This window comes from Homo sapiens, chromosome 10, assembly GCF_000001405.40.
Source record: "Homo sapiens chromosome 10, GRCh38.p14 Primary Assembly".
NCBI classification, from domain to species: domain Eukaryota; kingdom Metazoa; phylum Chordata; class Mammalia; order Primates; family Hominidae; genus Homo; species Homo sapiens.
The window spans coordinates 61,757,137-61,773,934 of record NC_000010.11 but is presented as its reverse complement, the minus strand read 5'-3'; the positions used below and the strand labels follow the sequence as shown (position 1 = coordinate 61,773,934).

Below are 16,798 nucleotides of genomic sequence, written 5' to 3'. Positions count from 1 at the left end.
AACCTCTGATGATATTTAGGACAAAGACAAAACTCTTTATTCTGACTTACAAGGTTTTGCATTATCTAATCTCCACTTATATTCATCCTCAACTTTGAAAAATGCTCTTTCTCACTTAGAGACTTCAGCCACACAGGCCTCCTTTCACACCCTCTGCCTTCCATATTTTATTTCCACAGGGATTTGCACTTGCTGTTCCCTTTGCTTAACAACTTTCTCCTCTCCTTGCTTAACGAGTGCCCAATTCATCCTCGACATGTGACTCTTCAGTAGAACCTTCCTTGATTAGGTCAAATTTATCTATGTAAGCTCTCGTTGCAGGGTATACCTTTTTTCATAGAATGCGTTATAGCTTTTTTAAAAAATAATTGTTTATGTGATTGATTAAAATCTACCTCTCCCAGTAGACTATAAACTCCATGACGCAGTGGTTTTATCTGTTTTTGCTGATGTATGCTTAGCATAGCTTCTGACACACAGAAGATACCCAATAAACATTTGTTGAATATAACCATGTTTGAATGAATGAATCATAATGTGGATGCTAGTTTGGACTTTGTCATAAATTACTTGTGTTATTACAGTGTCTTTTCACTTTCCTGGCCCTCAGGAAAAGTGAGGGTTATTGTGAAAGGGTTAAACTAGAAGATGTTTAGGACTTTTACCACCATGGTCTTGTGGTAATACTATTTTTAAATCGAATCTTGTTGGTCATTGCTTTTGTTCGATCATTCAGTTATGCATACTAAGCAAATGCAACAATTCTGGTTCTGGCAAGATGGAGTGAGAACACTTTTTATTTGGAATTTTTGACTATTACAAATTCAATGCAAATTTTAAATTTATTCTAATCCATAAAGTCCAATAACAATGCAAAAAGGGACTGGATAGAGTTAATGAAAAATAATAATATCAATTTTTATACTAAAAAAGGAAAGAAAAATCTATATTTTGTTGGTCATTGTAACAGTTTAACTCACGCGTGAGGTTGGAAGATGAGTACTGTTACTTTTATTCTGGTTGAATTTGGGCCTTGGTTTTATGAAAGCTATCCATGTATTGACAATGCATTAATATAAAATGTCACTCGTATTAAAAACGTGTTACTTTTTCCTCTTTTTGATTTTGAGATGAATATTCAATGAAAATATTAATAACCAGGCTATTTTGATCTCTTTTTTTGGTGATAGGATGGCAGGTGATATGATTATTACCAAGCTTGATTTTAAGTAGCTGGATAGCATTTCTTTATTTGTTTATGTATTTATTGTGTTTTCCATGTTATATAAAACAAGGACTGCTCATTTAGAGAAGTCTTAGCAGAATCTAAAGAAGCCTTACCTCATTGTGAGCTACTTGAGAGACTGGGGCCATTCTATAGATGTTTGATCTCTCTCTCTCTCTCTCTCTCTCTTTTTGTTTGAGAGATGGGGGTCTCACTCTGTCCCCCAGGCTGGAATGCAGTGGTGCAATCATAGCTTACTGCAGCCTCAAATTCCTAGGCTCAAATGATCCTCCTACTTCAGCCTCCCAAGTAGCTGGGACTACAGGCATGTGCCACCAGGCATCACTAATTTTTAAGTTTCTTTTGTAGAGACGAAGGTCTCTCTATGTTGCCCAGGCTGGTCTTGAATTCCTGGCCTAAAGCAATTCTCCTGCCTTGGCCTCCCAAAGTCTTGGGATTACAGGTGAGCCACTGTACCCAGCCTGGTTGATCTCTCTATTTAAGATTAGCTGATAGAACATATTATGATGTTGTGTTATACAATTGAGTTTGGTACTAAAAGAAATCAATGTACTCTGCTTTTATAAAGTATGCATATTTTTGGAAAGTTTCGAATTCTACTATGGAAGTAAGAAGGTATGAAGAGGCCCAGAACAGATGAAAATTACAATTACCCTTTTAAAATGGGATATATTACTTTCTGTTTTTTCTGAGTATATTTTTTCTAATTTGCAAGTTGACTATATTTGATTTTTCATGTGACATTTACAAGGGGGTATCATTTTATTAATAGTGACATCTGACTGTGGGCATTTTTTCTTCTAATTAATTTTGTTTTGACTAATATTCTTTTTTAAAAATTAATAGATTTTATTCTTTTAAAACAGTTTTAGATTTTTTTAGAAAAGTTGTAGATTTGTAGAATAATTGAGCAGATAGTACAGAATTCCCCTATACAGTCCCCACTCCACCACTGCACACAGTTTCCTGTTAGTATTATTATTAATCTTACATTAGTATAGTACATTTGGTGCAACTGATGAACTACTATTGACACATTTTTATTAATTGAGTTTCATAGTTTATTCATATTTTTTAAGATTTCCCTTTTCTGTTCCAGAATCCCATCCAGGATACCTTACTACAATTGTTGTCATTCTCTTTACGCTCCTCTTTGCTGTGACATTTTCTTACACTTTCCTTGTTTTGATGATTTTGGCAGTTTTGAGGAGTACTAATCAGGTATAGACTGTTCCTTCACTGGAATTTGCCTGATGTTTTCATCACGATTAGACTGGGGTTTTAAGTTTTTGGCATGAAGATCGCAGAGATCTTCACCATTTTCACCTCATATCAAGGGTACATGCATTAACATGATTTATTGACTGTTGATGTTGACCTTGATCACCTGGCTGAAGCAGTGTTTGTCAGGTTTCTCAACTATGAAAGCATTACTTTTTCCATACTATATTCTTTGGAAGTCTGTATGTACAGCCCATACATCAGTGGAGTTATACTCCTCCTCCTTTGAGTGGAGTATCCATATAATTTATTTGGAATTCTGCAAAGAAGATTTGGACCAAAATTATTTCAATAGGTGGGTTTATCTGGGTTTGAGGATTATCCTTCTAAGCATTTTGTGGTTATAATTCTGCATGTTCTTTTGAAAAAGAATATTCACTTGTGTGTCATCTGTCTCTAGATTATAAACGTCATTAATTCCATGGACTCCCTCAAGTCAAGGACCTTAATTGTCTTCTTTCATTCTGGTACTTAGAACGCCCAGAATAAATTACAAGCTAGATTAAAAGGAAGAAACAAACACCAAAATGACCATCGAAGACATTTTCAATGAACATTCTCTGAAGCTAAAAATTATATTAACATAAAACACTTTGGCAGCTCTGACAAATAAAATACGATAAACCAATCTTCTTCACTGCAGGTTCTTCTGTGAAAAGGAAAGTCATCCTGAAAGCGAAAGGAATTTTTAGTATTCTCTCTTTGGTTTGGAATTACTTTGATCTGGATGGAATTATTTTGATCTGGATTCATCTTTCTTTGGAAACTTAAATTAATAGGTATTATGGCTGTCATGAGGGGGTCTTGACTTCTCTTATTTAACAGATGAATGTCCAGGAAACAAATGACTTTCATGTCCAGAAGAGGGACGTCTTCCAGAGGCTGAAATTTGAGATGTCAGAAGTATTTCTCCTCTACAATTGTTGGGAAAAGGAGCACATTTATTTTCTAGGGGAACGGAAGCATAATGAAATGCAATCTAAGAACATGCAAACTTATTATCTACCAGGATGATTGAATGGTTCCAATCAAATGAAGGATAGAAATAGAGGCTTTATATTCAGATTTTGGAAAAATGACTCCACAGTTATATTAAGGCACAATAGTGCCTGCAAATACCTGAAATAGTGGTAGTCTGTGGCTTGTTTATAACATAATGAATATATTTGCTCTTTGAAACTTATCATGGGATCTATGCAAAAAGTTTTCCAAATTATTCCTGCAAATGGAAGAAACATACTTTATTGTGGATGATGACAGTAAAGCTTCTCCTAAGTGATAGGTTGGTATTATTTTTAAATTGGCTCTTCAGAGGGCAACCGTTATGCCAAAGACTACTTAGAGTAGGTGGACTCTGTCACTTTAAAAAAGTCAAACATTTTCTTTATTTCTCCCTCTCTTAGAAACTGCTATGAAGTGGTGCTATGACATCATTAGCAGTAGGACTCTTTTTATAAGAATATTCCCTTTTCCAGGTCTCCATAGATAGAAGTCTTGGTACTAGAGAGATGACCTTTTTAAAAACATAAATCTGATGTCACTTGCTACGTAACGTTTGTCAACAATGAGTCATTGTTTTTAAGTTAAAAATAAAAATCTGTGCCCAGGTGCGGTGGCTCACGCCTGTAATCCCAGCACTTTGGGAGGCTGAGGCGGGCGGATCACGAGGTCAGGAGATCGAGACCATCCTGGCTAACACCGTGAAACCCCGTCTCTACTAAAAATACAAAAAAATTAGCTGGGCATGGTGGCGGGCGCCTGTAGTCCCAGCTACTCAGGATGCTGAGGCAGGAGAATGACGTGAACCAGGGAGGCAGAGCTTGCAGTGAGCCGAGATGGCGCCACTGCACTCCAGCCTGGGCGACAGCGAGACTCCGTCTCGAAATAAATAAATAAATAAATAAAATAAAAATAAAAATAAAAAATAAAAATAAAAATCTGTAATATGGTCCACAACCCCACAACAACGTTGGCTCTGGACAATTGTTCAGCTTCAGCTTGTGTCCCAAGGACTTGGCACATGCCTCCTTCTGTCAGAAACACATCTTCCTTCACCTTCCCTCTGGTTAAATTTTACTTCTTGGGCCCAGCCCTGAAGTTACCCATAGGAAGCTTCTCTGACCTCTTAGATGCCACCAAGCTCCTTTGCCTTATATTCTCCTAACTCCCTGAGCTTGTCTTTACCACAGTTACTATTAACTGCCCCCACTAAATTATTAGGGCAGATACCATGTCTATTTGGCTCACCACTAAATGCCCAGGCACATAGAAGGTGCTCAACAAATACATAATACATGAATAGATGAATGGAAATGAGTTATGTATTCTATCCTTGGATACATTTTCCAAAAACTTAATACACTCATTAGCATAAGCAAGTTTGTTCCCTTACTATAGTAATAAGGGAACAACAACAAACTTGCTTATTCTAATAATATTATTATATAATAAGGAAAAGGAAAGGTTAGCTTTCCCTTGATTTCATGTCAACTATGAGATGGCCAGATGAAGATAAAGGTTAAGCACGTGGGTTTTGTGATCGTACAGGCCCAAGTTCCAAAGTTAATTCTACCACCTACTGGCAGTACGATCATGGAGAGTTACCTAAACTTTCTCTGTATTCCAGTTTCGTCATCTGTAAAATAGGTCAGACTTGGTTTGGAAGCCCCGTCCCACCAATTATTAAATGTGTAACTTGGTTTAGGTTAATAATCCCTCTAAGCTTCAGGCTCCATAACTATAAAATGAGGCTAACTATTAAAGGCTAATAGTATCTACCTATCATCTCTCTCTCTCTCTCTGTCTCTCTCTCTCTCTCGGTTATTAGGAAGACTAAATGAATATAGTCTTCCTAATAACCATAATATATATATTATCATCACACATTATATATGTTACATGAATATATATATATATTTTCTTATAAACATATGAAAAGGTGTTCAACCCATGTGGAGTAAAACAATAAAAGCAAATTAAAGCAGTAGCATGACATTATTTTCTATCAGAATATCAAAGACAAAAAATTGACTAATGTACGTTGTTGGTAAAATGTAGAGAAAGAGGTATTCTTATACACTGTTGGTGGGCATACAAAATGGTGAAATATCTTTGACAATATCTAAGAATATTGGAACGCACATACAACTGGACCTAGGAATTCCGCTTCTAGAGTTTTGACCTACAGGTATAATTATACACATTCACAAAGATGTGTGCGCAAGGGTGGCGATACAGCATGGTGATAACAAACTGCTGGAAACAAAAAAGTTCAGCAGGAGGACCCATCAAAAAATCGTGAAACTGATAAATATTACATGGTTGTTAAAATGTACTGATAGGGAATTATCTCTCAGATATATTACTTGATGAAAAAGGAATGTAAACAGCAATATTAATTGTGTAAAAAAAGACCACTTATGCATGTATCCAATTGTTCGAATGGGCAAAAAATACTTTTGAAAGTTGTGGTTGCTCTTGCTCCTATTATCATATCTGAAAGTTGGGTTGCCAGAGAGATCCCTGGGCTCCTCCACCATGGAAAATATAGGAGATCAGAGTGGCAGGGTGGCTACCATGGGATGACTTCAACAGAGGGAGAGGACATGCTGCCCCACAGGTGCCAGTGGAGAGACAGAGAAGGCTCGGAATTCTGGCAGACAGCCTAATCAAGCAACTGGGCAATGGGTATTAGGGATGGGCAGTGGCATATTGAGTCCTCATAACCACTTCAAAAATAAGTGTCACTTCCATTGAATAGATGAGCAAATAGAAGTTGAGTAGCCTGTCCAAGGTCACACACTCACCAGTGTGAAGCCAATATCACACTGTGGGAGTCTCAGTCTAGAGACCACAGCTTTAAGCACACTTACATATATTGTCTCTATATAGTGTTTAGGCATCCTAGTGCTATTTTGATTCAGTCTTAGAGTCCTGATACTTCTGACTGATACCCTTGCTCAAGTAAGCACTCTTTATTAGAAATTCAGGTCTACTCTGTGCCAACAATTGCACTTGAAGCTGTTTTTGGTGACTTTTGGAAGCTCCTTTATTCCACATTTGCAGTCTCCCCCGTTTCAGTTTGCTCTGGAGAAAACACTGCTTGATGGAATCCAGACTACATGAGCCCTCCTACTGATCTGCAGCCATCAACGTTTTCATTCAGGAAGGACAGCTCAGAGAAGAAACACATCTCCAGACCTTTTAGTTGTGGAACTACAGGAACAATAAACATTGTTTTACCTCAAGGGGTACTCTTACTTTGCTGATCAGTGTAGTTAGAAAATTACCAAATGCTGTCAGATCTGCCTGTGCCCCCAGTGAATATAGTTTGGGCAGTTTCTTTGAACTGATGGAGAAAGTAGGGTTAAAGCTGATATCCAATCAAGTGTCACCCAGATCCAAGTACTGTATAGCCTGGAAAATTTTTGAAGAAACTGCTACCTCCTAGCAATGCTCTCCATTCCAGTAAACTCTGAAGTATAAGAACTTTGGAAAAGAGTTCGGTAGTAATTAATTAATTTGTCCAACTGGGGACAATCAGCTGGCAAATTGATATTTTTCTTTTGAAATTATATTTTAATAAAGGTATTTAAAGACTTGAGATTTTTAAAAATCATTCCACTTCAATATAATGGCTAATTCTGGGAACTCTATGAGTTTGATTTGTATTTAAGATTTTTACAATCTATATATAGGTTGGTCTTTAATAACCATTTATACATTGCTTCTTTTTATATAGGTCATGTATTCTCCTGGGAGAGTAACAAGATTAGAAATAACAAATACAGTACAGAATAAATTAAAGTGCTTCAAACTGCATTATATAATTTCAGAAAATTGGTTTCACACTGAAACGTTTAAATAAGAAAACCAAATGATTTCAGTAAAAAAAAAAAAAACCTCATATATGCATTTGAATTGCTATTGTTTAACAAATTTTATCCTCAATAGTGTGGTACTGGTATGTTTTCACAGTGTTCCAGTAACGTGGCAGTCCGTTTGGGTCAAAATGGATGAAGTTATTATCATCTTTCTTTATTTCTGGTTATTTAAAAAGTTGACTTCATTCTCCTTGAAGATGAATAGGATTTATTAGTCAAAACGTCAAAGGACTATCATAAAAGTAATTGTATTTTTATATATAATTTTTCAAACTCTTGTATACAAAATGTTCTCATTACACTTGGTGCAATAAATTCAGAGGCTGTTATGGGATGGGAGATAGCAAAATTGGGACCAATACTTTTCTAATTACTTAGGAAAATAAAAAGTGGGGCTTGGTTTTCCTTTCACAACTAAGTGATGGAGACACGACGCTCCAGAGAGTCTGTTATTCTGGCTGGTTTTGTTTGTTTCTGTGAAGTTTAGCATCACTCTCCTTGTACCAAGTCCTTAGGCCTTTTTCAATTTTTCTATTCGTGCATTAAAGGCCTCTTCCTGTATTTGCAGTTTTTCGTTTATCTCGGTCTGTGAAGACAATCATAAAAAACGTGGTTATGATGGAGCTATCTTTTGCTGCACATTGTCTTTGTGGTTTTGACATACTATAGTGCCTAAAGACAGATATTATCCCTCACACACCTTCCTGTTTTGCAGACATAGCTGTGTTTCAGCCTGTAGTGATGTGATAACACTTTATCATATTTCTCTGCACATTTCCAATGTATAGCATGTCTGCTATGAACAGGAAGTGGTATTTGGACAGCCATTTTTCACAAAGCCTTGTGTTGGAAGATAGGATAATTTATCTGTATTTTCAGACAGACTTTACCAATAAGCACTGAATCAGAATAACTGCTTTGGGCTCAGTTATTGCAGTGCTGTGGGTCCCTCCACCATCTGCAATGGATGTCTGTGTCTCCCGTGTAATACATTCTAAATGAGATCCCAGGAAGCTTCTGTTGTGAAATAACAACACAAATAACCTTACAATTAGAACAACTCCCATAATTAAGAGTATTCATCATACATTAGAACTCTTGGAATGATGCCACTTTCTGATATATTTTTGGTAAAAAAAGTAAGCAATTGCTCTCAGGTTTTGTGATTGCCGAGGTGGTGATAGCATTTTGCCTCTGGCAGCGATCTTCTGTGGACTCACATTGCTACCTGCACAATTCCATAAATACGTTCACATTAACTGAACATTAGTAGCCCTGGAAATGTCTTCCCTTTTTCACAAGGGATAATAAAATTACATACAGAAAAAGCAGTGGTGGTTGACGTGGCAAAATTGATGTTTTTGTTGTTGTTTAGGTGATTTTTAAAATGTCTACCGCTGTATAAGGAGTAGCTTATACACATATGTGTTAATAAATTCAAAGTTTGGATTTCTAATAGCTATAACATTATTTGAGGGCTTCAGGGTAACTGTACTTTGCAAACCTTTTATTATTTTAATTTAGATAGAAGACATTTAAAAAAATCAAATACTGTTTTAAGCCCAGATATAATTTTTCATATTTATTTACAAGAGTGTAACTATAACAGATAGTTGTGACATGTCCATGCTGCCTTATCTGATGAGATTTGATTTCACCTCACAGTAAGATTTGATATTTCTGGAAAGATCGTATGTGTGCCAACAATTCTGGGTTCAGAACTCACATAAGTATCAGTCTTTTCTGGTTCAAGCTTTAGTAAACCTTGGGATCAAGCTCCGGCCTCTGGTTTCTTATCTTTTCCTTTCTTGGTGGTTGGGTGGAGGAGGCAAGGAGGGATGGAGCGGTCCTCCAGGTCACAGAGGAACTCTTCCTTTAGGATGCACTGACTCTAAAGAAATCATCATCTATGCATGATTTTAGGTAGGGTCGAAAGAAGCACTGATCTTGGACTGGGAAGATCTAGGTACTAGTTCAGCTACGTCACCTTAGGTAAGTCATTTCACCACCTGGATTTTAGCTCTTACCTTAAAAATTAAGTAGGGGAATAGGATTATGTTAATATCAAACTTTAGTTTTTGAATTCATAATTCCAACTTCCAATTTTGTGATATACTTCACCAATGTTATCTTTCATTGTTATGATGTCATGAAATACTTAAAAATCTGTTACTCCTGCCTTATTAAAATAAATTTATGGGATACAACATATTGGACCACATAGGGATTAAAATGGTTTGAAATAATTTTACCACAATTTCAAAGGATTGGGAAGAATTGCGCCACTCAAACAATCGATTCTTCCCACTTTCAATTAATGTCCCTCTATGCCCACCAGTAATCTCATTTCTTTTCAGCTAAGGATTGATGTGCTTATCATCTACCAGTTTCTGTTTCACTACCACATAGGGATTTTACATTCACTTGGAGGCCTTTCTGGTATTTTACCGAGACAGAATTTATCAAAACAAGTGTAGGCCTTGGGAAAAGGTTCATGAAGGGGCAGCTAAGAGAGTGGCATACTGACAGAGGTGAGTAATGTCTCAGATCTCCAGACCTTAGGCTTAGTACTTTAGTTCAGTCACAACCAGCAGAGTTTGGATCTAAAGGCTCCACGTCTAGTCAATAACAGGCTGTCATTAGCCGTGTTTCCTTGTCATTCTTCAGAACTTTGCTGAACAGACAAGCAATCCTGCAAATACTATGGTTGGGTCTGGTTCTTTTTTTTTTTTTTAAGGAAAAAAAATATGTTCAGTAGTCTCTCATTGACCACTTCTTTGAGATGATTTCATGCTCAGCTTTTCTAACCTGGAAAATTCAAGTTGACCTAAAAACATCTAGGGTCCCAAGATGGCAAACTTCCCTCAAAGTTTTTATATTATATTACCCTATTGCTTCCACAGGGCCAACAGCCAACATGTAATGTAAGAATTTAGTGTTAGCATTCATATTTCTCTGAAATGTAATTCTTTAAATATATTTAAGTTTGCTCCCTTGGGTATAATTTTTATTACACAACTCAGGGCCAAAATAATTTCATTTTGAATGTATCTTTAAAATTAAAATACCTAAACTATACAGGCTTAAAATGTTTGCTCTATTCAGTATAATTTTAATTAACATCTCAGGGCCAAGATAACTTCATTCTTAATAAATCTCTAAAACCATAAAGTGAGTCAATGGGAAAATAAGTGAATTAACATAAAAAACTTATGGATTCATACTACATTTTCAGAAATTTCTGTATTAGAGAAGGTAAAATATGCCTGAAACCACATAGAAAAGGAATTTTGAAAACAACTGTACTTAAAACATGAATTATTTACTGCCTTTTTTTTGCAAAAATTGTAATAACAGTATGACTTTTAAACAAAGTAGGAGAAAAAAATCTGTGAGAAAATTTAAAACATCTTACGAGTAGTGATTCATTAAATATTCCTACAGCAGGTCGGTGTGTTCAAATAGCATATATACACTGACCACTGACACATAGCTACCTTTGAAAAGGGATATGGCAGTTCTTAGAGCCAGGAACACTGGAAGGCAGGTTTTAGAAGTGGAAAATAACCTACACATCTAAAATAGGAGGAGGAATTTAGGTAAGCAGAGAGTAATTACCCAACTTGGAATTTGACCAAGACACAAGGGTAAACGTGGAAAAAGTGCCACACCACGGGAGTATTAAAATCCAGAGTAGTCTGGTTGTGATATTAGAAGTTATGTGGTTTTTGTGGATAACGCTGGAATTAGAACTAGAACCCAGGTCACAGCTCCCATTCAGGGTCTTTTATCAGTTGTCAACCCTGGGAACTCTGGACAAATAACTTAAGTCTTTCTGTGTCCCATTTTTCAATTTATCAGGGGAAGTGCCTGCCTAACTCACATGGAGTTTACTAGGATTACTGATAGAAAATACATAAAGGGGTTTGCCATCTTGAGCCATTGTATAAATCCACATCATCATGCTATTTCATTGAAAAATTGGCAGTAATTTGGCCCAGGCTGATGTCTACAAATCCACTTACTATGGAAATGATTGTGGCACCTAGCGGTTCTGCATCCCTGTCCTCTGGTCCACATCCTCTCCATGCCTAATTACATTTAGGTGAGCAAGCTATTGAACTTCCAGGATGGCTTCAGGCCAATGGGAAGATAACATACAGACACATAGCTATCATATAGAATAGGGGTATAAATGCTGCAGACTGTAATATTTAAAATAATTTCAATGAATAGTTAAAACATACTGTTCACTGCATGGAACACAGCTTTGGTAAAGACGTTTTCAATTTTTTGGGCCTGCAAACAATTCAGTTACTGTCTGGTAGTTCCTCGGCAATAATTTCAGAGCTGTAGGATTGCAAAGGAGCCCAGAGCCATGATTATACATAAACTATATTTAGATGAAATGTTATCAGATCTAAAAAGGAGATATGTTCTGAACTCAGCTTAATTCAACTGCTCTCTGCCCTTCTACACAATAACCAGTTATTACATTCATGGAGTTGTTAACAATAAAGCTTTGTGTAAAACGTGTTCTTCCACTATTTCTGGTAAACACTAAACACCCCTTATTAAGCTGAGGACTTTGGCTGAGTCTGTTGGCACCAAATCATTAAATGTTCGTGTAAATAGTGCAATAACATTTGATGATTAAACAAGTAACAAGGTATGCTTATGCCAAGCTAATCTTTTGCTCTTTTTAAATTAGTTGTTAATACAGTGGGCTTTTAATATATGGTCTCATGTTCAGATGACAACTAAATCTTCTCCTGAGATGCATTAATATTTTAAATATGCACTAGGTTGCCCTCCTGATTTATAGCCATTTCTAAATAAATTGCAAATGTACTCAAAATATACATTTTACTTATTTAATCATTTGGCCTGAAAAATTATGTGAATTCCTGTAAGTCTTTGAGTTGAGGTAGAAATGGCTGTTTGTTTTTTGAACAGAATGAGATGAGAAAGAATTAAGCATAAACCTAAGCCAGTTAATAAATCATTGGCAGCTGCTATTCATACGGCTGCTGCCATCACCATGTTCATGTAATTATTGGTGTAAACTGCTTAGCCATTACTGATAGGTCAAAAGGAACAAACTGTCTGAGAGGCAGTTCAAAGATCTGAAAGCCTGTTAGAAATTTGGTGAGAAGACTTAGCTGAGGATTAAGGTTTGATCTTCAGTGTTTACCATTCAGAAATGCATTCCAATTCCTTTTGCATAAGCAACATTTACAGTTTGACAAGATATGAAGCCTTTACCATGTTATTTTTTGGGTTTTGTTGTTGATTTTTTTAACTGATAACATGCACCACACTAGATGCTGTTGGAAAATCTATTTTGTGATCTTACTGAATCTCTGATGACTCAACTGAGAATTATGTGAAGCTGTTAAATTGAACTTCGTCATAAGCATCGCTCATGCTGGCAGTGTGGGGAGTGTTTATAGACATTAAAGTTAAGGTTGGCTAATTAACCAGTAATAAAGTAAGTGAGCATACTATCAATACTGAGTACCTGAATGCCGATTAAAATGTCATCTGTGACTTGATCCAGCACTGATTTTACATCTTCAATGGTAAAACCAACTAAAGGATCCATGTCTGAGGTGTCAGTTTCTGGCTGAGACTCCTCAGGGCCTTGTTCTTGATCCAACCTCTAGAATATTGAAAGTAAATAGCACTCGGGTGATTTCTAGAGCATTCGGTGATTTATATGGAACCTAAAACTTCTTGTTTTAAATATATTTTATTTTACTTTAAGTTCCAGGATACAAGTGCAAAGTGTGTAGGTTTGTTACATAGGTATACGTGTGCCATGGTGGTTTTCTGCACCTATCAACCTGTCATCTAGGTTTTAAGGCCCGCATGCATTAGCTATTTGTCCTGATGTTCTCCCTTCCCTTCCTTGCCCACCCTCCAAATGGCCCAGATGTGTGTTGTTCTCCTCCCTGTGTCCATGTGTTCTCATTGGAACCTCAAATTTCTATTGGATACTTTTCTAGCAGAAACAATGTCAATCTGGGGGGAGATTTTGATATGATGTTACTCTGTATTTATATTCCTGTTCATGAGGGTTATGACAGATCAACTCATGGTACCAATGTGGTGCCCAGGGGAAAGTGAAGGTGGAGATTAGGAAGGGTAGGGTGGAAAAGATTAAAATTGCTGAACTACCATCAGCGGACTCATCTTTGAATCAACACTTAGAGAAATATTTGTATTTGGTTGGGAAAAATCAGAGGCAAAGAAAATGAAGAAAACATTTAGTTCGTTTCCTCCCACCCCAAGAGAATATAATGATGAGGTAGGGTGAATGGAAAGACAAAAAGAAATATACCTTCATTTCCGTATCCAATATTGTGGGGGGCTCTATGAATGTTGAATAAATATCAAATGAGATTCCTTCTTCCAGAGGATTTGGGAAAGGGCCACATGCAGACTTGACAACCTCTATCACTTGCTGATGGGAAGAAAAAAGTTGAATTATGACAGAGCCTTTGGTGAGCAACCACAGTTTCGGTCAGTTCCGTTATATATGTACCATAGTTCCAAGTCTGTTATCTTTCAAGTGCCACCTCCTTTGAATTTTTGATGCCATTGCCCTTTTTGTCCTCTAGTGCTTTTTGAGCTCCATTTCTCAAAATTAACACTTTGTTTTCCCACTGTCTCATTTCCTTTCGATACTCTGTGGTTTAGGATTTCATGTAGTATCTCCTCGTTCTTAACTGTTTTGTGCTTCAGTATCCCCCTTCTCCTGACTACAAGCCCTCTGTAGGTGGAGAACCAAGTTTTAGATGCTCTGTGTATCTTCTCTAGTTCTGGCAGAGGATTAGGTGTTTAATACACTTAATGTCATCCTGATGGGGACTGCTATTACTCAGCAGAATGTAGCTGCTGAAGTGGCCATCAAGAACTTGGTGATGAAGACAATAAGGGCTGCAAAGATTAATATATGAAGCCAGTAGATCAGGAAGGAGATTTGTCAAAAACACACAGGGCAAGGCAAGACTTCACTATGAGTATTTAACAATTCTTTAGCAACAGCGTGCCACTCAGAAGGAGGCTGACGGTTGGTTAACACTGGAAATGAAGGAAAAGGAGAGTCAAGGAAGCCAACTTTGGCAGTGCTCATCTCACTCTGACTTGGGGGAGGGAAAGGGGAGATGAGGGTATTAATAACATTAAACATTTGATTCATTTAATTAGTTGTTCTAATTCCATGTTTAATAAGCAACATTTGATTTTAATTTCAATTCCCATCCCAATTGATCTGTAGAGACGTGCCCACTTGAGGGTTCTCGTTTTCATGCCTACTACATGCCTCATTGTAAACTGGTAAATTGTTTTGCTTTATAGGAGCTTGTTATTGTGGCCCAGGGATGAAGCCACCCACAGTATGCTGACAAAGTCAGGCCCTGAGATTAGAGCTTCAAACATAAGTTTGAAGACAAAATTTTGAAAATGCATAAATTCACGAAATAATTATCATCCTGTGAAGCCTGAAAAAAAACCCAATGAAATAATAATGCATTCATTTTTAATGTCTCTACAATATTTCAAATAAATATGTTACATGTCATCATTTAAATATTAATGTTTTTGATTTAGATAAGTTTTGAAATGCGCTGGAAGCTAAGGTTTGTTTTTGGTCTTACAAATGCTTATGTGTTTTGCATTGAATTAATATTATTAATTTTAACTTGATTTTATACAAAGTTGTTGCTTAGTGTAAATATATAGAAGCCCCAACGTGTCCTAACTTTATAGGCAAAAAGATTTGGAAACCAAGAGGTTAAATGATTGGCCTAAGGTCAAATAATTACTTCTTGACAGGGCTGGGAATTAAACCCTGGTGTGCTGACTTCTTGTCCTTTGTGGTTTTCAGTAAACTGTAATACGTCATTAAGTTGCCATATTTGGAAATTATTGCTATTATCAAGCACTTAATTTTTATTCTGTTAGGTGACATCATTCCAGATTGTTTATCTTAAGTCAACTAAATGTTAATCAAAATAGAATATTGAGAAAACATATCAGAACAGTTCTTTTCTCTTATGCACTTCCACGAGCCATTGCATTTTTCCTAAATGGGGCAAACAAGAATTTCACCTTCCCACGAAATGATTTGTACCTTTTTTCAGCACTCTTGTTTTTCATCCTTCCTTTACCTTCTATTGCTCTTTATTTTACCAAGCTAGGAAAAGGAGACAGCTAAACATATTTTAGCGGCCTCTGAAACATTATAGGTAAAATAAATAAGCTGCACATGGGAATCAGAGACAAGGGAAGATGATGAGGTATTTACTTAGTGGTATAGACTTTAATATACACCAAGGAACAGGAAGTTTGGAGTGGGGGTGGTGGGGATGAGTGAGACGTTGAAAAGAAGAGAGAAAGGAATTGAATGGAGTCTACTGAATTTACTGCAGGCACTGAGATAATCTGCAAGGTAAAAGTGTTGTTTTTAATGCAGTAGAATTTTTTCTGGTCTACTGTCACCATATTTGTCTTGTTGCTAAGCTTGGCCATACACAGGCTAGGCCTTCCTGCTCACTTGCCCTCACCCCCTGTGGAAGTTCTCAATAGGTTGCCTCTCTAGCCTGGTAGTAGCAGATTCTACCACTGGCCCTTTTCTACTTGTACCCATTTCCCCATCACATTATACACTTAAATGTAAGCAGGTATTTGTGTCCAATTCTCTCATTTCTTTCCCTCACATCCCTGTCCTCTGGATTTCTTTATAAGGCTCATCTGAATGACTCACCAACTACCCAGTTTCCTGGTCTTTGGCACTGTGTGTGTGTGTGTGTGTGTGTGTCTGTGTGTGTGTGTGTACTGGGCACACACTTGGAAACTTGGAACTTCCCAGCTTCCACATCATCATTTCTTTGGTGGAGTGAAACTCCCAAGAACCTGAAGTTCTGACTGAGAGTTGAGCTTTTCTTTGCCTTGATTTTTATGAGTGTAGCCCATATAACTATTAATTTGATTTAATTGGTGCACAAAAACTGGGGGGTGAGAATTTCTTTTCTTCAGGGTGTTTTGCATACTATTAGTGAACCAAACCCTAGCTCAGTTTTTCTCCTTTATGAAGAATTACACTTAGCTGTGTTAGTGAGATACTGCAAGGGAAAGAAATGTCCCAATTTCAGATGAGGGTAAATATAAAGTCTTTTCATTAATAATAATAAAGTACATTATCAAATATATGGTTTGAAATAAACATAATGCCCAGAAGCATCACAGTGATTTTTTTCACATTAAAAATGGTAGCCTTTTTAAAAAGCAAGTTTAAGGAAAATTAGAATCAATAATTGTGGTGAGAGCCCAGAGCCAGAAAATACGTTTAAATGAAACCGTCTGATGCAATAGTTTCTTTAAA

The 16,798-nt window shown here is 36.7% G+C and overlaps 1 protein-coding gene across 5 annotated transcripts in view; it reads right to left on the bottom strand.

Annotated features, from left to right (window-relative positions):
* Positions 1-7,168: 7,168 nt before the first annotated feature.
* The window catches only part of CABCOCO1 (ciliary associated calcium binding coiled-coil 1), a 103,838-nt gene continuing 94,208 nt past the window's right edge, over positions 7,169-16,798 (bottom strand). For all 5 annotated transcript variants that reach the window (NM_001366908.2, NM_173554.3, NM_001366906.2 and 2 more), the window contains 3 exons: positions 13,754-13,876; positions 12,932-13,072; positions 7,169-7,996 (listed from right to left, as the gene is read on the bottom strand). In NM_001366908.2, coding sequence (NP_001353837.1) covers positions 7,922-7,996; positions 12,932-13,072; positions 13,754-13,876 — 339 coding nt within the window. In that variant the 3' untranslated portion in view covers positions 7,169-7,921. The remainder of the gene's footprint in view (positions 7,997-12,931; positions 13,073-13,753; positions 13,877-16,798) is intronic.